At 37.9% G+C, this 24,109-nt stretch overlaps 1 protein-coding gene across 2 annotated transcripts in view; it reads right to left on the bottom strand.

The window, feature by feature from the left end:
- Positions 4,703 to 24,109, bottom strand: part of SELENOI (selenoprotein I) — a 49,743-nt gene continuing 30,336 nt past the window's right edge. The window contains exons 7-10 of one of the 2 annotated variants that reach the window (NR_137633.2): positions 17,241 to 17,289; positions 15,449 to 15,537; positions 14,052 to 14,234; positions 4,703 to 11,583 (exon numbers count right to left, since the gene is read on the bottom strand). Coding sequence is in view for 1 of the 2 variants with exons in the window: in NM_033505.4 (NP_277040.1) it covers positions 11,485 to 11,583; positions 14,052 to 14,234; positions 15,449 to 15,629; positions 17,241 to 17,289 (512 nt within the window). In the remaining variant the exon portion in view is untranslated. Of the gene's footprint in view, positions 11,584 to 14,051; positions 14,235 to 15,448; positions 15,630 to 17,240; positions 17,290 to 24,109 lie in introns of both variants that reach the window. The other variant, NM_033505.4, reaches the window with a different exon arrangement.

Genomic DNA, 24,109 nt, shown 5'->3' with positions numbered 1-24,109 from the left:
GCTCTGACCAAAAACTCGTCCAGGTCCTGGTTCATGTTTCCACTATCCGTAAGGACAGAAACAAGCATGTGTGCATGCGCATGTCTATGCCTGGGAGTGGGATACCATGAGAAAGTCAGGGGGAATCAGCTGTTGCACAAGAGGTAAGTGAGAGCAAAGGTACCATACAAACCCATGAAGAGTGACCAGTGAGATACTTGGCCCTGCACTGTTCTGATACCACTTCCAACATCTTTTTATATAAGAAATCTGACTCCATTTTTTGCTGCTGACATTTGGCTGCTGGCAGCTTTTACGCAGCACTCCCTCTTTCTTCTCCACATCTGGGCAAGCTGTTAAAAAAAGCCTAGGTGCTCTTTTTGGTGCTGGCAGATTTCATCTGCGTGCACAGGATACCCTCCTCCCAGCCTCACCCCTTAACCACAATAAAAGCCCCAAGCTTGTCTCCTTTCCTGGCTCTCTCTAGCCATTTTCTGACCAGCTGGGAGGCCCTCTTTGCTCCCACAGGCAGCCTCAATTATGTAATAAACCTTTTTCACTGGTGTGGGAAACACTTTCACTCACCGCTGGAAAGGGACCTCCTAGGAGGACAGTTTGCCAAAATCTATTAACTGTTTAAATTGGCATACTAGGGTAAAGGGTGGAATAGGGAGAGATTTGTTAAAGGATACAAAATGACAGGTTCTAGTGTTCTGCACCACTGGAGGGTGACTATAGTCAATAACATAGTTTCAAATAGCAACGAGGATATTGAGCATTCCCAACACAAAGAAATGACAAATGTTTGAGCTGATAGGCATGCTAATTACCAGACCTGATCACTATACATTATATGGATTGAAATATTACTATGTACCCCATAAACATATATAACTATTATTTCCTTTTTTTTTTTTTTTTTTTTTTTGAGACAGCGTCTTGCTCAATTGCCCAGGCTGGAGTGCAGTGGCATAGTCTTGGCTCACTGCAACCTCTACCTCCTGGGTTCGAGCGATCCTCCTTCCTCAACTTCCCAAGTAGCTGGGACTACAGGCGTGTGCCACCATGCCCAGCTAATGTTTATTGTATTTTTAGTAGAGACAGGGTTTTACCATGTTGGCCAGGGTGATCTCAGACTCCTGACCTCAGGCGATCCACCCGCCTCGGCCTCCCAAAGTGCCAGGATTACAGGCATGAGCCACTCCGCCCGGCCTGCCGAATTTTTTTAAATACTAAAAATTTTTTAAACTGAACAAAGGACAGAGAGAGGAAGAAATATTTTCATGGGGCAGACAACTGTGGTTGTAGAGGTCAAAGGAATGAAACAAAGAGACAAAGAAAAACCACTAAACAAGAAAGTCAGAAGACATGTAATGAATTATGATTAAATATAAATGGGAAAATGCATGCTTAATTTTCCATGCCTTTGTAAATAGTTCATAAGTGAGTTAAATTTAGAAAATTGTTAAAAACTGAAAAAACTAGATAAAAACATATTTATTTGTATACACACAAAAATAAATTAGCATATCCATTCACTAGGCAATTCTAGTTTAAAGATCATCACAAGGAGATCATGGATCTAGCTATAGCTCATTGGGGTCACAACTATATCAGTTTTATTCGGTATTTTATACATAGCACCTAGCACAATATTTGATATGTAGTAAGTGCTCAACAAACTTTTTTTGAAAGAAACGTATATAGATGTATCTGTATGTCCATTCCAGTTACTTGTAATATTAAAAAACTAGATATGACAAAATCCATCAATAGGGGAACCGATAAAAGAATCATGGGATTCTCTAACACAAGAATAAAGGTGACCTAGAAAGACATCCAAGATACATTACATGAGAAAGGGAAGAGGCAGGCAGCACAATATAGAGCCTAAGCCGAGTTTGATTTGAAATGTAGACAGTAGTACACAAGAAAAACAGGGGGAATACCACAAAGTAGTCAATATCCCTCAGGGGTGGGCTTATGGGTGATTTTCAGATTCCCTGAAGATTAAAAAAAAATGTTTACAATGAGGATAAATCCCTTTTGACTCAATAAAACATAAAGCTTATTTATTCATGTTTTTGTAAGAGAAATAACAGGAGACCCCCAAGAGAGTGAGGCAGGCAAGTAGGGCTGTTATAGATGAGAGGGACTTGGGGAAGGGAGGCAGGTGATGTCCATTCACCTTGATGACTGACCAGCATCTAGAGTGTGGTCCTCAACTGGTAGGCAATGCTGGTTCATACTAATAAGCTCATACAGGCCGGGCACGGTGGCTCATGTCTATAATCCCAGCACTTTGGGAGGCCAAGGTGGGTGGATCACGAGGTCAAGTTCGAGACCAGCCTGACCAACATGGTGAAACCCCATCTCTACTAAAAACACAAAAATTAGCTGGGTGTGGTGGTGCATGCCTGTAACTCCAGCTACTCAGGAGGCTGAGGCAGGAGAATCGCTTGAACCCGGGAGGCAGAGGTTGCAGTGAGCAGAGATTGCGCTCTAGCCTGGGTGACACAGCAAGACTCCATCTCACAAAAAAAAAAAAAAAAAAAAAAAAAAAAAAAAAAAGCTCATACAAAAGCCTGGCTGGCTCATACTAACAAGCTCACAAAAGAAAAACATAGAATTTCTTTTAGCAAGCAAGTACAACCATCACACAGGGCAGTGTGCATTTTCGTGCCTTTCGTGTAGATCAGCCCACAGAGATGTGCTGGTCACAAAGAGGATCAAACTCTGACTGGGAAGTCCCTTGATATGTAGGACTGACTGCCATGGTTCAGAGGCTCACAATGGGGATAATCTGCCACAAGCACAGTCGAGTTCCTCATCCCTGAGTAGGTTTTTGAGGAATCTGGCTATATGGGCTTCCCTTGCTAAGGAAGGTATGTGGGCATCCACCTTCAGCTTTTATAGCCTTTTTTCAAAACAAGAAGGATGAACAGATTTGATTTTATATCTTACTAAGTCTAGTCACACTTAATTCTACATCCAATAAGTTTACACTAACTCACCTTAATTGGAATGTGAGGATGCTGACAAATTCATCATTTAGACAACTTCTTAGGTTATTTCTATCTTTCGATTTGTGTGAATTTTACTAATTAGATTCTGAGAAGGCAATCTTACCAATTTTTAATTTGGGGAACTGCCTTACCATCATCTTCATATACTGCCTCAAAAGGCATGAAGGAGGAAAGAGAGGGGAGGAGGCATGGAAGTCATGAGCTGTGTCACATGGTTTAGAAAAAAAGTTCAAAGAAAAAAGACAGAGAACTAGATATTAGTAGAAACCAAGCACCTACCTTAGTCCACTGACTGTGCTAAACACCCTGCATGCATTATCCTCATTCAATCCTTCACATGGTGTAATAGTGGTAATATTGATCCCATTTTATAGATGAGGAAACTAAGGCTTAGAAAAAAGTAAAAAGCTCTTTCTTCAAAGTTTGCAGAGTTGAACATGACTAAGAAACAGCCATTGTATGAAAACTTTGGGAGGTTTTAAGAAAACTCTCAGAATGAAAAGAAGAAGAAAATTGAAGGAGCAGTTGTAAAGTTTTCTTTCAGGAAATTTGTGAACAGAGGAAAAAAGATGAGAGTGGGAAGAGAAGCAAGACCCTTTGGGGGCATAGGGTTTTTTTTTAAGTTTTGGTAGCCCCAAGAGTGGTTACGTAGTATCTACCTGGTATGTGTCATCAGGCACTCGGGAGGTGTTTGAGGTTTGCAGATAGAAGGGAGGGAATAACTGCTACCGCAACCAAGAGCGTGGGAGGGAAAGGGGTTAAGAGCGCACAGCTGGAGAACAGCCTGGGTTAAAACATGGGGCATTTTCTTCCTCATTGTCTTCAAGCCTGTTACTGAAATTTTTTTTTTCTTTTATCTTTTTTTTTGAGACAGAGTCTTGCTTTGTCACCCAGGCTGAAGTGCAGTGGCGCGATCTCAGCTCACTGCAACCTCTGCCTCCCGGGTTCAAGCGATTCTCCTGCCTCAGCCTCCTGAGTAGCTGGGACTACAGGTGCGGGCCACCACGCATCGCTAATTTTTTGTTACTTTTGGTAGAGATGGGGTTTCACTGTTAGCCAGGCTGGTCTCGATCTCTTGACCTCGTGATCCACCTGCCACGGCCTCCCAAAGTGCTGGGATTACAGGCGTGAGCCACTGTGCCTGGCCTGCAATTTTTTTTAAATGCCTACTGCCAGAGCTGGGAGATCGATGTAAAAATGGGAAATATTCTCCTCAGAAGCAATGTCATGTAATGGGAGTTATAGTTTCTATACTATAATCTAGACGTACTAAGTATGGTCTAACAGGTTTTTATGGGATTCGTCTGGAAAATTAATACCATATGTTAACACTCTTTCTATGGGAAAATGCTTCTGAGGAAGAAACCACCTTACAAACTAACTTAGGCGTGACCCAGTCATTATTAGACTATAGAGACTGCCACCACCCAGTTCTGGGCGAGTCAGGAGCAGTATACTATGAAAAGCTGTTACTGCCACCTGCCTCGTATTCTGCCTTTTGAAACAAGTCACAGGATCACAGAACGCCCAGGAGCAAGCGGCTGATCTCTCTAAAAACAGAACAAAACCTTTTCAGTGTTTTGCTTTAAAATAATCAATGATTCTCTGAGACAAGTGGCTGGACATTAGTTTTCTCCCCATAGCTCCCTCCCCTTTTGCACTTACCAAGGAAAACAAAGAAGACAATCTGAAAACAATTAAAAGGATTTAAAAATTACTCTTTTACTTTTATTACAATAAATAATTATCAATAATAGAATTAAACAATTTTCAATTAAAACCTACTGCATTACTTTGGGGTTTCACAGCAGCAGAAACAAACATAAATCCAGTTGAAAGGGCAAGGCTTCCAGAATCCAGTGACAAGAAACAGTCTGGTCTTGATTATTCGGGCTAGCAATGGGAAACACTGATACAGATAATGCAAAAACAATGAAATGCATCGGCATACTCTCTTTGTACATCACATTATCTGACACTTTAAAATATTCCAGCTAAGTAATTTAAGCAAGCCATGAAGCTCTGTTTCTGCAACAGTTAGAGTTCTCCCCCAGCAAGCCCGCAGCACAACTGCTCCCAGAGCCACCCTCTGGCCAGAAACGGGCCCCATCATCATGCAGACCTAGAAGCCTCCACCCTGGTGGAAGCAGCCATCTTTCTCAAAGCTCTTTCTGGCTCACACAACCCATGGTTAAAGGAAAATGGGAAAGTGACATATTTAAAGGGCCTTTCTCGAGGACTGAGATGAACTGGAAGACAGACAGACTGTGGCTCCAGATCAGGAAGAGGCTTCAGAGTAAGGGCCACATGCAGATGAACTCCACATGAAGAAACTATCTGATAAAGGCTGACCATTTTGCTGATAATCAAGCAGACTGCATGTATATATGAATATATCATACATACATATGTAGTGAATATATGTGTACATATTAAATAGGCATACACACACATCACACACAACCAGATAAAATAAATGGTACATACATTGCTACTATGAACACTGCACGTCCCAGACAGACCAATGACTAATATGTTCAATTAAACTACTTGAATTAAACTACTCTTCCTCTCCCCAAAATATTCTGCTTGCAGCAAACATATTCCAGTTGCTCAAGCGGTGTTGTTTCTAGGTTCCTGAGAAGGAATGGAATCGTCCTCTTGTTTCAGAACACTACAGAAAGCCAACTGCAACAGGACCAAGCTAAACAATTCATATTTGATTTGGCCATGATTCCTCCACCTATTCTTAGTCACAGGGCATGAAACCTTACTCAGAAAGATATCAATTTCTTTTTCTACAACTGGCTACAAATTTACTGTATTATGTTAGATGGAGGGGACTGGGGGAAGGCGGGCAGCAGGGAGTTTACATGTTGGCAATCATTCATTGCCTTTCCCTTTACCCAGAGAAAATGCTACTTTAAAAAAAAAAACACCCAGAAATTTAGAGTTCAATAATGAATTTTGCTTTCTTGGCACATTTTTGAAATGATCATATCATTACATGTAGCTAGGTCTTTATCTCCTGAATGCTCCTCTAGGGAGGCAAGTTATCTAAACAACAAAATAACCTACAAAAAAAGTTAATATTGTGAGCAGTCTCAATTTGTAGTTATTAAACTCAAAGTCTAATGCTGAAAGGCAACAGTAATTTAAACAGATTTGTTTATTTTTATTATTATTTTTTGAGATGGAGTCTTGCTCTGTCACTCTGGCTGGAGTGCAGTGGCACAATCTCTGCTCACTGCAATCTCCATCTCCCAGGTTCAAGTGATTCTCCTGCCTCAGCCTCCCCAGTAACTGGGATTACAGGCACATGCCACCATGCCCAGCTAATTTTTTTGTATTTTTATTACAGACGGGGTTTCGCCATGTTGCTCAGGTTGGTGTCGAACTCCTGGGCTCAAGCAATCCACCTGCCTTGGCTTCCCAAAGTGCTGGGATTACAGGCACCTGCCCCAGATTTATAATGCTATTCACAGATCTTGCAGAATTATAACAGGCTCCTTCTACAACTTGGTTAGTGACATCAAGTACTAACTATATATGTTCCAGGTCAAGAACTTACTCTTGAGATATTCAAAAAGTGCTTGTCAAGAATATCAGAATCTAGAATTTATGGCAAATTGTATATATTTTAATAAAAACCTTAAAATAAATTCTAATTTTAATTGCTACCCATAGAAACTCCTCAAGAGAAGACATTAGCCAAACAGACATGAAATATCCACAGCATTTAGCTACTCCCTCGTCTTCAGTACTGTCTCTAACTTCAGTTGCAGTATATGTGCTGCTGAAGAGCAGTCTGCTTCCAATTTCAACACAGCATTAAGGTACCCTATAGCCATCATCCAATATACTTGCTTTAAAAACAGCACTACTCTGATTTAGCCTGGCTTTCTAAGAATGATTCTCTGGAGAGAAAGACCATGTGAATGGTCTGTGGAAGACCAGAACAATCCTGCTGCAGTCCAAGTGGATTTTCCTAGAGACAAGCCTTTGTTAAAATATTCTAAAAGTATATGTGGCACCTTCCAATTCTGGGATCCTGGCCTTTCTAAGCACATGCAACACAACCCCCTCGCTTAAGCTACCTGTGAGAGAGCTACAAATGGCAAAACTTCTTTTGCTACTCTAAATATTAATGCATTAAAAGATCTGTCTAGATAGGGAGCAGATCCCTGCTTTAAAAAAAGTAGATAGATTACTATCTATTGCATATTTGTTTACTAAAGAGCAAAGCATATTACTAGCATGCAGGCTTAAAAAGTTACATTTATTCTGCACTGTAGAAACACTGGAAATGAAGAGCCAACAAATCCAATTCCCACAGCTCCATGCAAGGAAGAAGCATATCACCACTTTCTCTGGAAAAGTTAGACAATCGTGATTAACCATATACCCTACAATAACTGCCTGCCAATGTCAGTCATTTGTACCACTGTCAAACATAAAAACTAAAATATGCAAATCACGTGGGTTACATAATCAATAAAGGAAAATCAGAAATTTACTTAAGCTTCCTAAAATGTCCAGAGCATCATACGTTCAAGTTTCAGAGATTTAACACCATTTTACTTTTAAAACTGTCACTTTAAATGTACATGTCAGAGTGCTTCAAATGTAGCATACTAGTTAAAATTCTTCCTGGAAGGTTCTAATGCTGGCAGCTAACTTACTAAAGTTATTCACCCACAGGGTGTTCAAGCAAGAGCATGCTGACTTACAAAGACACCTCATGGGACAAAGAAAATTCTGGTCTGACTTCACAAATTTTCTATAGAGTACTTAAATCCAGAACTGAGGTCAAGATAAGGCCACTCTGAACACAGGCATCCACACAACCAAAGATTTCTGTATCTGTTTTTGGCTGTTTGGGGACCCAAAGTCAAAAGTTCCAGCCCATCAAGCTTACTTTGTTCCCCCTGGCACGTTCCCAGTCCTTGACTAGTCAAGAGATCTAAGGCCATCAAGGAGATGTGAATGTGGCAACATCTAGGGGCAACAAGGCAAGACCTGAGTGGGCAGCCTCTGTCCTAGGTGGTGGGTAGATAAGAGGAAACCCAGGTGAAGAACGAAGAGGAAGAATTACAAATAGGCTTCTATATAAAATATAAAGGGGAAAAGTAGCCTCTGACTCAAACACCTTCAGATTATCTTTTTATTCTTCATAGGTCATAGAGTCAAAGTCTGTTATGGAAGCAAGGTACATTCCAAATGCATTTTGACTGACTATAAAATAAACCAGTTCTTTGAAAACAACACTTAGGAAACTTTCAAATTCATAGGATGTTTCAAATTCATAGGATGTTAAAGTCCCTTCTTCCCTTTAAAGTGGAAACTATGCCTGCTTTTTCCTTTGTATATTCTCCCAAAGCTCAGGCTCCAGGTCATAATCAATACTCTTTTGGTACCTATTTAGAATTGGGGTAACTCTAGACATACACTCCCCTCCTCTCAATGCCTCTATATTAGAATAAATAACATGATGGTATTAGTACTGTAACATCCTAAACCACAATCAGCATTTAGCTTTCTTTTGAAAATTAGAATTAAAAGTATTTCAATAATGACATTAAAATGACAAGGAGGAATATTTAGCTTTTTATTTGGAAGGTATTCACTCTGTTACCCTTAAGACTAAGACCCATAAACTCTATCAATTACCTATTCGTGGAAGAATGACACTGTAAACTGTGGCAATGTCAAAATGTGTACTGCACTTTATAAAAGCATGGATAATATTAAAGGATCACAAAAGGCAGCATTAGCATTCTCTATCCAGGTATTATTAAATCTTTTTATCCCATGCCCCCCTCAAATATAGGAGAATTATTATCTGATAAGCCTGAAACGACTTTTTTAATACCATAACCTAAAAAGACACTTCTTACAGGTGTATGCAACTTTGGTCAGCAGAAACACAATACGAGCCTCTGGCCTAGCTAAGGCACTCTATTCTGAAAGTACGGAAAACATGCACGTATGCTCCTTATCATGGCATTGCTCCCCAAAAGGCAGCTCACTGTATGCTGGGGAGAAAGGCTGGGGCATGAAGTCACCCACAATATCATGCATAAGCCTGAAAGACCTTTCATACTTTGGAAATGTTATAGTAATTGGCATGACATAAATGCACACAGCTATCTGGAATGAAGTCCTGCTTCAGCTGCTATATCTCTACACAACAAATGGGGGCTCTCAAGATGCACTTTCAAGAATGGCAGACAAAACAAGAAAAAGAGTCAGCAGTACACTAAAGATCCTCAAGTATCCTGAAACAGTGAATTGCTCAATTTCACTTTCCCCTTGTTGACAGCTACTTTTCTTTCATCTAACAATGTCAATAAAACTGACTATGGCATCATTCTTTACCACCATAGGGAAACAAGTCATAAAGTACAGCACAAAACAATTTTCAAATAAATTTGATACAACCAAAAGAGGGCAGAAACACACCTTTGAAGTAAAAGGGCCCCCAAACTATAGGACGTGACCTTAAAATGTCAGAAGTAAAGGGTATTTTTACTATACTGTACAAGGTCAAGAAAGCCTGTGGTCCAAGTTTGTCATTTTATAAATATTTATCAGTTCTTTTCTTATATAATACAGATTAATCTCATTCTTGTGTACAAGGTCAACAAAACGGTAAAATAATTAGCTTAGAAATCTTAAAACAAAGCTTTTTCCCTACCCCCAATTAACATTTTATCCAGTTTAATTTTATAGATCACAAAGAACAAGGTATACAAAAAATAGTTACCGTCACTTAATTGGTTAATTCTCTGACTTCCATGATGGCAATTAACAAACATGGGATCACTATCTGCATTATTCTGCATCCATTTCTCATCTATTTCCAACGTTCATCTGTGTCTCAGAGAAAGTCACCAAATACACCTCAACCTTTACAATTTCTTAAAATGAGTATAGAACCATGAGTTAGTGCCGTGACTCATTTCTAATAACTTGAATGACAATGATTGGAATTTATAAATTTTAAAAATGAAATATCAATTACAGTTATTTTTTACAAAGCAGCAGACTGAAATTCAAGAAAGAAATACACTATAATTAAATTTAACAATGGTCACATTCATAAATAGTTATGAATTTAATTACATATCAACACAGTGGTGCCTATTTTATCCAAGTGCAGCCTGTCCAAAAAAAGGGGGTTTAAGATACACTCTTCATTCAAGCACAAACTTCATTCAGTGAAAAATAAAAGAAAATCAGCAAGTAAAGTTCACCACCACCAAATTAAATGAAGACAAAGAAATAGAAGAAAATATCCACATCATGAAAAAATATGGTTTATAGAACAACTACACTACAATTAAAGGGATTTTTATGTTTGTCAGTAAACCTCAGAAATTACTCCAAGTCATGTTAACATTAAAGGGGGCATGTACTCAGTAAGGCATATATATCAAAAGTTTTCTTCAAGTGGGGAAATGGACAAGCTGGAGAAGAGAGAACTTCTCTCTGTTTTATCTCGTATGAAATAAGAAACACAGCACCTCACCCTGAAAAAAGAAGAGAGGGGAAGGACAGACAGACAGACAAACTGAATCAAAAAATTAATTTTGGTCATAGTGAGGTTCATGAAATTCCTAACTCCAATTTATATTTATCTTACAAGGTACTTTTATCTGCATTCCTCCTAAGTCATTACCATAGGACTGGGACTGTCACATGCATTCCTACAATCAGAGCTCACAGGCACCAAATCTCAGGAACCTGCAGCTGAAGGGGGGAAAATGCCATATTTAAACAATGAACCATCCCAATGGGTGAGCGATAATTACAACCCATTCTCAAATTCTCAACTGATTATTTCTCTTTAGGAGAAAATTAAACCATCTATCAAGATCTGTTCCATAATAAAGAGAGCTAGAATATTAGCTAAATGTATTAGCTCTCTTATCATTTGAGAACAAAAGCCATTTTCAGGGGAAAGAGAAACCAGTATTTGGCAACTGTCTGTTGTTTGGTAATCATTGGCATCTCTTGGTGAAGGTGACTTATTTTTATCCTTTCCCTATACTAGGTTTGGACTACTGCTACTCCCGCTATTACAAAGTTCCAAATATGAAAACACACTGTGGTTTTCTGAGTGTTATCAGTGTTCTGAAACCAATTTTGGTACTTAAAAAATAAAAACAAAGCATCTTTAACCCTGCATGAATCACAACATTGTAAACTCACGAAGTTAGAACCATTAGGAACATTTTGCTGGTCTAACGTACATTCTGCTCAACCAAAATGTCACATAGTTTTATAAAAAATAAAATAGGCTTAGAGTTAGTAGGTCCAAAATTTCCCAAGTTCAGATTATATGTATCATTCCTGCTGTCCAAGTACCATACTGAGATCCCACGTCTGTCAAGCAGATCAGTCTAGTTCAATGGTGATGGAGGAAATATTTACAAGCATTTATTTACAGTACTTCTTTGTGCCCAAAGAAAGATTATTACAGGCCAATATTCTTTTCTTCCATTCCTAGTCAATCTGAGTTTGGTTTCCTCAATGAGAAGGGGTAAATCTGAAAATGGCTGCTCAGCTGCTTTACCTATGAAAAATCAGAACATGAGACAGTGACAAATATGTACCTTATTGTTTTTTAAAAGCACACAGAATTTACCCCCTAGAGATAACAATTTATTGACACGGCAAAAATCATGAGAAATACTGAAAAGGTTTTTCTGGATTAGGATAGCTATAGAACTAGACAGCTAAATGGAAGTACTAGAACTAACATGGGAAAGTTAGGACTTAGAACTAAAATCTAGTCTTGAGAACCCTCCAGAGCACTCAAATTCACATCCAAATCTGAAAAACTATAGGATTAGTTGACCTGTAGCATCTAGATCAAGTAATCATATTTATAGTTAGACTCTATATTCAGCTTGCTAAACATTTCTAAGTAATCATTCCTAATCCCGATGAAATAGTACAAAACTAGATCTATGAATTTGGAGAGGCCTTATTAGTTAGGGTATCTCTAGTGGGAAGGCAAGAGCTTAGTTATAGGTCAGCGAGTGCATGTCATTTACTTGATACTTATTATTTACATTTCAGCAGTTCAAGTGAATGTTTTGTGTGGCCTAGCAAGTTTTAACTTCTGGCCAGAAGTTGTAGATGTGGTAAAAGAACACAAAGACAGATAAAAAAGATGATCCTAAATTGTTTTCCAGTTAGCGTGTTATTTATTTTCCAGGTTTTTAACAATGAAAATGTAGTACCTTTATCATTTAAAGAAAAGTATATTTTGGTTTGGTTTGGTATGTATGTAGCTTTCTAAAGATATGCTTCTAAAAGGCTATAGTAAATGAAAACAATTAAAAAAGACACTGGCAAATGGATATTCTATGCCATGCATATATTGATGAAATATCAGGATAAAGGCCGAAGAGTATTGATATAAGGTATATAAGGTTACATTTGTACAAATAAAAACAAAAATAATTATGTCTTATATCACAATTCATCACAGCTTTTTTCTCCTTAACAATTGTATCTAGTTTGTTCTAACAAATGAGGGCAACTTTGTAGAGAAACACTAAGGGAAGAAAGCCCAAGTTTAGCAACATATGCAAGGTATAAAGTTGTTATCAAGCATGATAGCTGCCTCTCCCACTTAAAAACTGTGTGTGAAAATACAGAAGATATTTTGTTTCTCAAACGGATTAACAGCAGGGTTCCTTTCAAACAAGCATACCAAATAGAAGTGTTTTAAGAGTCATAAAAATGTGAATACCCTGTCACAACCCCATTCCTATGAAATTATCCTCGGAAAATAAAACAAATGAAACAAAAATATTCGAGATTGTTTATGCCAACATTTTTTTTCTTTCTTTTTCTTTTTTTTTTTTTTTTTTGAGACAGGGTCTCACTTTGTCACTCAGGCTGGAGCACAGTGGCACCATCTCAGCTCACTGTAGCCCCGACCTCCTGGGCTCCAGCGATCCTCCCACCTCAGCCCTCCAAGTAGCTAGGACTACAGGCCTGTACCACCACATCTGGCTAATTTTTTTTTTGTATTTTTTGTAGAGACAGGGTTTCACACTGTTACCCAGGGTGGTCTCGAACTCCTGAGCTAAAGCGATCCACCCGCCTCAGCCTCTCAAAGGGCTAGGATTACAGGCATGAGCCACCACACCCAGCCTAGGGCAATATTTATAATGGTGAAAATCTGGAAACAACCTAAATGATTAAAATAACTGTACTGTGCAAGGTCATTATTAAGTAATCTCCTTGGTGGAATATTGCACAGCCTATGTTAAAAATGTAAAATAATTAGAAAAGAATGTTAAAGTGAAAGAAAAACCACATGGTTCCATTTGATTTCATTATATCTATATTCGTCCATTCTCCTAAAATTAGTTTATTTTAGAAGAAAATATCAAGTTTACAAAACATTTCTCAAAATCCCTTTTCTTCTATATTTCCCCTTATTTATCAATTTTGCTGATGAGGGCTCGAGAATAACATAAATGAAGTAAAACCTCAAATAATGCCAAAGTCTTCCTTCAGTCAGAAATTCTAATCTCCCTCACCACAACTGCTTAGCAAACTGGGCAGTGGGAGGGAAAAAGCACTACACAACCAATTACATTTCTTTCCAAATTTTGTTAATGAACAATAAAAATGCCCCTAAAGCTAAAGAAGCAAGTGAAGAAATAGATAATTAACAAATGTGATTATCTGATCCCATATAACTAAAGGCTCAGTTTACAATTCTACTCACCAAGAAGATGGCTTATACATACCCACTTACAGTAATAACTAATTCCTCACAATAATTATCCAGCTTTAAAATCATTTGTTATTACAGTAACATACTCATTAGAGAAACAATATCTGAAATTAAACATCTGGATATTATCCAAAATTTAGAGAATATCCCAAAACCCTTACAGCTACTATAATAAGCAACTTTCTTTTTAAAATTTTCCATTGCCTCCTTTCTACTCGGAGGCATTTATTGGTGCCATTTATAAGCCCCAAATTGAACCCATTTTGCTGTAGATTACTCACCACTCGTACTCCATAATGGATGTGGGCCAGAGTAAAAGCAGTTGTTAATGTATACAGGAGAATGCTCTCAACGTAAGAGGCTACTCCTAGGTTTACCACTAAGACAACCAAGAAGAGAGGAACCAGCAACCAATTCAAAGTTGGACACCGGGTACTACTCATTTGGCAAACAATCAGCTGACACTGGACGTCAATTTAAAAAAATAAGAGAGAAAAAAAGAAAAATTTCATTAGCAAAGCACTTCCAAAACTAGTCTTTCCAACATTTGAAAAGCATTCAAGTACCTGAACCAACACACTTACATTATCTAAGTTCAGAAGTTCTCAATGCTTAGGGGCCCAACTGGACCCCTGGCCCTGCCCAAAAACCCATGTAACCTCAGAGTGTGTGTCAGAAGAGGCTGGAAGATAACTGAATAAGGATGCTATAGAAGGCATTCTCCCACTGGGCAACAGTTTGAATAAAAGAAATTTCTCTCAATTTTAAGATTCTACGATATGTTAAAAAAAAAAATCAAAATAGCCTCCCACACCCCCACACAATTAAGTTTCTTTATGGCAATGATGAAGAAGTGCTATCTCCAATTCAGTCCCATTGCCATAATTAGTATCTCAAAACCTCTTTGGCTCCTTTATTTTTGAAGACCTTACTTGAATATAATTTAATTCTTTCAGAGACACTTTTTATACAATGCATTAGTGTTTTTAGATATTTAAACCCTATAAAATCAGCAAGACTTGAGATATTACACACGTTACAAACATGGAAACATAAGATGAGTAGCTAAGTTACAAAATAAAAACTTCTAAGGACCCAGCCTGAGCTAGAACACAGACCTTCTGGCTTTCAGGACTATCAGAGTCTTTTCTCAACTCCTGATCTCTGCTTCCTGTCTGCTCTCTTGCACAGTCCAGCATGGAAAGGAATTTATAAGAATATGTTCTATTTATTACAAAGTTTTAAATTCCACGTTCTTAATCTTAAAATCAGCTGATTTTTAAAGTGTGTGTTTTCTCTTTCTCAAAAATCTCTTCCAAGCTTCCTAGAATAATCATTTAAGTCTGCAGCTATTTTAGCCATACTGGTAATATATTTAGAGTCTAAAGGGAATCTATAAATTTTTTCCATGAATTCTTCAGCGGGCAACCAAAATAAAAAATTTAAGTGTGCCATAGTTCCAAAATACTACTGTAGTCTCCAATCCTATTGGTTTCAAAGGGCAAAATAAAATAATTTTCAGCATTTCAGTCTTTGAGGTTACTATTCTTTCAAATTTCTGAAATAAAAATCTTTAAGTTAAAATCTGTTTATTCTAATATTAAAGATTTTTCAAATTATCAAATTCTGTCATACAATCCTAATATATATTATGATTTTTAAAAGAAAAAAATCTTACTGTACTGTTGGCAAAAGCTGTTCCAACCATAAAGTAGAATACTCTAGGATGTAGCTCTAAAATATCTGAAGGTGACCAAAGGATCCACGCTGTAGACAAAATGAACAGCAAGCATGGAGAAAATAAGGGAACCATAGCTTCATAGACTGAATTGAGTTTCAAGGTGTTATTTTTATAGCTTCTGGAAAAAAAAATCAAGTAATATAAAGAACATTATTACATATAAATTGTACAGTACTTGTACTGTAGTTTATAGTTTCCTTATTTATACACTTATTTTATACTCACAATAATCTTGTGGCATAGACAGAACCAACATCATTAATCCCATTTTACAGACAGGCTAAGTGAGGATAAGAGAATTTAAATTTACAAAACTTGGTACCAAGTGGCAGGGCCAGGATTAGGACTGAAATCTTCTGACCTCTAATCCCATTTTTTTCTCTTTAAACCAAACTATCAACTGCTGTGCTAAGAATATAAAGATGAATAAAATCTGGACTTTGTTCTATGAGATATTCTAATGGGGTAAATAAGATGAACATAAAATACTAGAAGAGTACCTCAAAGTGCGGCTTTGACACAAAGTGATAGAGAACTTAGAGTAAGACAGCTCACAATGAAAGACTCTGAGGTGCGACTGGCATACCACATCTCAGTGTCTCTAAGCACACAGGAGGTTATACAATACACGCCTGCTCAGCTGAACAGAGCTCCAAATTCCAGTCCTGCTTCCGCCATTGATCACACGACCTCGGGCAATATGTTGCCCAATGAGAGCCTCGTTGTTATAAAATGAGAAGAAAATGTAGAGAAATAATCTCTACATCCTTCAGAGCTTTAAACTGTATGGCTTCTATAAATAACTGCCAGCTCAAATAAATGAAGAAGATTAATAGCGCTTGGTTTAACATAAATAAGATTCTGCTACGCAGATTTGAGAGCTAAAGGATGAAGTGGGAAGTGTAAGAAAATGTTTCAACCAGAAGAAAAAGGAGCAAAGGAAGCAGTGGGAGTAAAATTACTAAGAAGGGAAAGAGCAAAATATATTCAGGACACAATAGGCAAATTCAGTGTGGCTGAGCAAAAGTGGAGAAGCACATAGATCAGAGAAATGAAACTCCACCTGAGCATCTCCCTTCTCCCCGCAACCCAGACAGGAACTTCTATATAAGGGCTATTTAAGAAAAGTCAGCACAGGTCCAGTTTGGTCCTAAACTACACACATTCAGAATTTTTATGATCTTGCTAAAATTTTTTTTTTTTGAGACAGAGTCTCGCTCTGTTGCCAAGGCTGGAGTGCAGTGGCGCGATCTCGACTCACTGCAACCTCCGCCTCCCAGGTTCAAGCAATTCTCCTGCCTCAGCCTCCTGAGTAGCTAGCATTACAGGCATGTGCCACCACACACAGCTAATTTTTTTATTTTTAGTAGAGACGGGTTTCACCATGTTGGTCAGGCTGGTCTCGAACCTGACCTCGTGATCCGCCCACCTCGGCCTCCCAAAGTGTTGGGATTACAGGTGTGAGCCACCGCGCCTGGCCTCATTAGAAGACTATTTGATGAGTCCAAAACCGTAACAAAAGAACTAGTAGTTTTGTGCTGTGTTTGAAATGACTACATTAGCCACCATCGACACCCTAAACTATCCTACCCCATTAAAGATTTAAAATATAGGTTTTGTGACCTTTTCAAAATGTCCTGACTCCAAAAGGAAAATAGATCCCTAAGTTCAGCTAACAACTGCTAAAACTTTTCATATTTCTTGCCCATTTAAAAAATAAAATACTTACCTGAAAAAGTTTAATAAACTCATTGGAAGAGTCACACATAATGCACAACCTAAAGGGAATAATTATTCAATTATTATGCTTATTCAAGAGCAATTATTACATTACCACTGAATCATGCAAAACAAATTTTTTTAGACCCCAAAAATTTCAGGTTCAAGTTTACTTGTGTAATAAAATTAAATACATTTATAAACAACATTTACAACAGGAAGAGTGGCAGTACAATTTGGTGATTCAGAGGGCAGACTCAAAAAGCCAGCTGGGCCTCAATTTCAGTTGTACCATGAACTGATTACGGGACTTCAGGCAAATTGGTGTTTTACTGCCTCAGTTTCCTTATTTATAAAATAGAGATAATAGTTGTACCAACCCCACAGAGCTTTGAGAAGTGAATGAGTTATGACATGTTAAGATACCTAGAACAGTATGGGGTACTGAAACTGCACAGTAAGCATGAGCTACTCAAAGGGGGAATCCTGTTGCTTCACATTTATTTTTTACCTTCCTAGCTTTTTTTTTTTTATGGAAACAGGGTCTGGCTATATTCCAGGCTGGTCACGAACTACTGGGTCAAGCAATTCTCCTACGTCAGGCTTCTGAGCAGCTGAGACTACAAGCATGAGCCACCACACCCAGTCTTCCTAGCATTTTCAGTTTCTCCCCCTAGCTACTTCCATTCGCACACTGGTTCTCTCCCCATAAACTTTAAAACAAAGATGGCCTTCCCAAGAAACCCTCCTATTGATTCTGCTGTCCTCACTATCTACTATCTTCTGCTTTGTCTTATCATTTGCTAAACTTTTCAATTGTCCTCAATTTCTTAGCACTTTTTTATTCACTGTGTTCCAACTTTGCAGAAATTATACTCTTGAAATTTACCAAGCTTTCCTAATGTTCAAATTCAGTATCGTTTTTTCATTCCTGACTGCTAAGTGAAATGCCTTGGTTGACTATCCACTAAACTGAAATTCTTTCCTCCCTTTGCCTTTGTGATGCCATTCTCCCTATGTTTCCGCTAGCCATCTCACCATTTCATTCTGTGTCCTTTGTTGCCAATTCTACTTCCTGCATATTACTACCTGGGTGCCCCACCGTACTTATACTCTCTCTCTCTCAGAATCCCTCTTAAAGCACAACTACAAGCTTACAACAGATGACTGCAATATCTAATTATGGACTCTTGGACAAACTCTAATAATCTGAACTTCAGATTCCAGTTGTACAATGGGGATGGGTTGAACTATTTTCTAGTGTCCCTTACATCTTTAAAATTCTTTGATCCTATGATCTATAGTGATATAAGTTCCTAATTATTTTCTCTCTCAAACTCCAAATCAATATATCTGGCAAGCTGCTGGGCACTTCATTTGGATGTTCCATTGTCATGCAACATATTAGCCCCAGTTTGTCTCTTCCAGACACCTGGTGACTCTACTTGGTTTGAGGGTCAATGCAGCTATGGCCTTAAAGATTAAAGGCAGAAAACATTCCTTCTAAACAATTCCTAAGACATCTGGCTTAAAACAGAAGACTAGAACCCAACAGAAATCTTATCTCTAAAAAGAATTACTCTGCTACTTCCAAGCCCAAGTAGAACAAAGTTCCCCAAATTAGACGAACTTAGAGGGAAAGGAAGGAGAAGACCACCTGAGGTCCTCAGTGTTCTCAGAAATTTTTAGCAGCTTACTCCACGTCAAGCTGGGAAGCACCAAAGGGGAGCCAAGGCTAAATGAATTAATGCAGAATTACTTGTAGCTCTGAGGTGTTGGAAATAGGCTGAGACAAACTAGCAAAAGATTTGCCACCAAGAGTAATTTTAGTTTTAAAAATCTTGAAATAACTATCTCAAGTATAGTGAGCATGTAGAAAGCCGGAGCTCTATACAGGCTGCCAAAGAGAAACGCTGCATCTTCTGTTTCTTCTTTATAGTACTTAATGTACTTTCTGAAACGAGTACTTAATTGTTAAATACTTATCTATGAAGCTCTATGTTTCAAGTAGAGAACAGTGATAGAGACCATATATATGTAGACCCGCTTTTCATCTTGCACAAGTGAAGGCCCAGACTTCATAATATAGGAAACTTAACAGCTAGAGAAAAATTGGAGTAGAATTTGTAAAAAAAAAAAAAAAAAAAAAAAAAAAAAAAGACCAAACTGAAGGAGATACAATCCAAGGATAGCATGGTCATAAAAAATATTTTCATTCCTCACATTTCCAGTTTATTTATTAAGTAGGTACACTTCAGTTAAAACCACCAAGACAAAAAGTACCTTAAGAAAAGTTAAAAAGAGAAACAATAATGGGGAAAACTATAATCTATATCAAAGGATTAATATACCTAATATATGAATAGCTTCTAAAAATAAAGGAAATGGCCAACAACCCTATAGAAAAAAAAATCTGTTTGAGAGATGTAAAATATGCAGAAAAGGACATACAAACGGCTCTTAAACACTAGAAAAGCTCATTCATAGTAAGAGAAAGGCAAATTAAAACTGTACAGACACATCATTTCTTACCTATCAGATTGGCAAAAAGTCAAACGTTTGACAATATACTATGTTGGTAAAACTGTAAATTAACAAGCACTTTCATACACTGCTGGTAGGAACAGAAAATCACACAACCCATATGTAGGGGAATATGGTAATTTTAAGCAAAACAGCACACATTTGTCCTCTACTAGCAATTCTACTTCTAGGGACCTCTTCCTCAACACCCTGGCAAAAAATATGAAAAGACTGATGTACAAGACTATTCACTGCAGCAATTTGTACAACAGCAAAAACTGGAACTAACCCAAATGTCTATTGATAGGGGGATGGTTGGACACACTACGGTACATCCACACAATGAAGTGCCAGGCAGCTGTAAGAGGACTGAGGAGGCTCCTTATAGACCACTGTGGAGTGATCGCTGGGATATACAATTAAGAGGGGGGAGGAAAAAAGGCACAGTACATAGTACAGTACATATAGAATGGAATGCTACCATGTATCTATGAAAGTGAGTGATAAAATGAAACACAAATATTTACTTATAGTAAGAAAGAAACAATGAAAAGATAAGCCATAAAATTAAAAACTAAGAATGGTTACCTCTGAGGAAAGAAAGGATTGGGTAACAACAGAAGCTAGACTTCTTTGAATATACCTCATTCTGTAAATTTGACTTTATCACAAATATTTTACATAATTATAAAGGAAAAATGAATTTTAAAAGAGAAAGTAATTCTTAAAGTAAAACAAATAAACCTAGATGTATAAATCCACAACTGGTGGCATAACCACAGAGTGGTGACTTTAAAATACAGTAAACTGACGGGACACACCTAGTGGGATAAGACGTAAGGATGAATAAAACTGCAAAAAAACAAAATCTTAATTTTCAGTTTTCCTCTGTTTGCTGATTTAGGTACTGTATTCGGAGACTGTTGTGAATAGTTCATGGAATAAAGCAAATGAGTATTCTGTGTCACTTAAAACCAAGGATTTTGTCATAGTTTAAAGGAGATAAAAATATAAGATCAATGAGGTTAAGTAAAAATTCTGTACTACCAAATTTGCTTTGGAATTATCAGTATGTATTTATGAAGTATTTTATCATAAAAACTTGATTTCCTTACCTATCCACTGAATGAATGAATTCCTAAGCCATGTTAATCAATGTCTGTTAATATTATTAGGTGAAGTTTAACCCTTAATAGTTTAAGGTAGCAGGTTAAAATATATATATATATATACTTGCAGCAGATGGAACAGACATACAAAACCTGAACCCGCTACATGCCTCCTAATGTGATGCAATAGGAAGACCAGTACCTAATAACACTGTTCCCCAGCATGCCCCCCAACCCCCAAAATTAAACCTGTATCAAAATAAGCTCACAGATCTAACTATTGTTTATAGGAAAAGTGAGGGGCAGAGGAACATGTTAATGCCATGAGACCGCAACCAGGAAAACGCAGAATCTAAGAATTCTATTGGCCAAATGACCTACTTTCTTCAATACATAAACTTCAAAGAAAAAATAGGGAAAAGCTACGTAGATTAAAAGAAATTTTTTAATTAGTTATTTATTTTAGAGACAGAGTTGCGCTCTTCTCACCCAGGCTGGCAATGGTGCAATCTTGACTCACTGCAACCTCCACCTCCCAGGTTCAAGCGATTCTCCTGCCTCAGCCTCCCGAGTAGCTGGGATTACAGGCATACGCCACCACACCCGGCTAATTTTGTATTTTTAGTAGAGACCACATTGGCCAGGCTGGTCTCAAACTCCTGCCCTCAGATGATCAGCCTGTCTTGGCCTCCTAAAGTTCTGGTATTATAGGTGTGAGCCACAGCACCCAGCCAGATTAACAGAAATTTAAAAGGCATACCAACCAAAGGCAATGTATAGGTACTCGGCAGCTATAGAAATACATCAATTGTGGTTCTTTTACAGAAAACCTTATCATTTAGAGATACACAGTGAAATATTTACGGATGAAAAGAAATGATATCTGGGATTTGCTTTAAAATAATCTAAAGGAAGGAAGGCATCTGTTAATGATGGCATAAAAAGGGAGGACAATTCTTCTCACAAATGATGATTAAAAACCAGACAAAAATATTTAAAACAACTACTTGAAGGTACTAGAAAATACTGAAGGACAGACAGAAATTCGAGAAGCATTTACACTTGAAACACTGGGGAACAACTCTGAGTTCGTGGCTTGCCTACCCCCTGTCCCAGACCAGATGATGGAAAGCCACAGTCTTCCTTACCAGCTTATGGAAGCAGATAATAGATTCAGAGCAGCAGAGGAACTAGAAAGCAGGGTGGGGGATATTGTAGAAGAGAGAGATGCAGAAGGGTTGAGATTCTAAATCTGAGTATATGCTCTGCCCAGATTCCTGGGTGGATGCTAAACTAAGCAAGCAAATCGGAGACCCCACAGAACATAGTGAAAGAGAAGGCAGAAAGTAGAGGAGATGCTGTGCTTGAAAGACAGAGGTGTTCTTGGTGAGATGTGAGTCTGCTGTATCTCTTACTAAGTGTGTTCCCAACCCACACTCAGACTGGGCTGAAGAAGGCAGAGCCCTTACTGGCTTGAGGGTTGGGGGCAGAACACAATTGCTGGAAGAGCAGCCGAAGATTCAGATGGGGAAACCCCAAAAGCAAAAAAATCATAGAGAGGTGAGCGCCAAAATCTCAGTATCGACTTTGCCCAAATCTTTGGCTGACCACTAAACTACACAGACACAAAGGAGACCCCCAAGAGACCTGGCTAAAAAAGCAGCAGCTAAAAGCTGAAAATAACCAAACAGAGACAAGAGCTACTTAATACAATGTGATGGGACAAATTTCTTCATCTGTGTCCAAACAAGTTAAATGCCTATCAGAACAAAAAACCAAAAATCCTCAGAGCAGAACAGATTATAGTCTCCACAAATATAATCTATAATATCCAGTTTTCAACAACAACAAAAAAAAAATTGCTAGGTATGCAAAGAAATAGAAAAAAAAGCAGTCAACAGAAAATGACTCTTAAGTGGGCCCAGATGTTGGACTCAGTAGACAGACTTTAAAGCAGCAATTTTAAATATGTTCAAAGAACTAAAGGAAAATATGATGATAATAATGAACAGAAGAATCTCAACAGAGAAATAGAAAGTTTAAAAACCAAATGGAAATTCTACAGCTGAAAAGTACAATAACTTTTTTTTTTTTGAGACAGGGTCTGACTCTGTTGCCCAGGCTGGAGTACAGTGGCACAATTACAGCTCACTGCAGCCTCGACTTCCTGGGCTCAAGTGATCCTCCTGCCTCAGCCTCCCAAGTAACTGGGACTACAGGCATGCACCACCATATTTGGCTTAATTTTTCTATTTTTTTGTAGAGACGTGATCCCACTATGTTACCCAGGCTGGTCTTGACTTCCTGGCCTCAAGCAATCCTCCCACCTCAGCCTCTCAAAGTGCTGGGACTACAGGTGTGAGCCACCGCACCCAGGGAAAAGTACAATAACTTAAATGAAAGACTTCCTAGATGGGCTCAACAGCATATTGGAGATGGCAGAAGAAAAAAAAAGCAATGAATTTAAAGACAGATGAATAAAAGTTATCCACTACAAAGAATAAAGAGATTAAAGAAAACTTAATAAAGCCATAGAAAATTACTTTTAGGACAGTATCAGGCAAACCTGTGTAACACACATGTAAGTGGGGTCCCAGAAAAGAAGAGAGAGGGGAAGAAAAAATATCTCAAGAAGTGAAACTGTGACTGAAAACTTCACACATTCAGTCAAAAATACTTACAGGTCCAACAGAGTCAACAGCTCAACAAATACCAAGAAAGACAAACACAAAGAAAACCACACCTAGGTACATCACAGTCAAACTTCCGAAAGCCAAAGATAAAAAGAGAACCTTGAAAGCAACAAGAGAAAAATAATACATTACAGAGTGACAATGATATATGAGCTGACTCAGAAACAATGGATGTCAAAAGACATTAAAATGATATATTCAAAATGCCAAAAGAAAAAATTCAGGCAAAATCAATACACTTTCACGTAAGTAAAAAGAGAGAATAAACTGCTACCAGACCTGCACTATAAAAAAACCTAAAGGAAGTCCTTCAAACTTCTGGGAAAGAACACCACATGGTAGGTCAAATATAAGGCAAATATGTCAGTAAGTAAATAAACTGTATATTATAACACAACCCGGGGGCTAAGCAGGGGGCTAAAGAGTACTGGTGCATTTCAAACAAGATTGGCACTGGTATTGAAAATAGTTGAGACTGGGTAATAGTACACAGGGGTTTATTATATAAAAGTAGAAACATTATAAAGAAAATTATGTGCCTATTAGAGTACACA

The sequence above is a fragment of the Homo sapiens genome, chromosome 2 (assembly GCF_000001405.40).
Source record: "Homo sapiens chromosome 2, GRCh38.p14 Primary Assembly".
Taxonomy (NCBI): Eukaryota; Metazoa; Chordata; class Mammalia; order Primates; family Hominidae; genus Homo; species Homo sapiens.
This window is presented reverse-complemented; position numbering and strand designations above follow the sequence as displayed.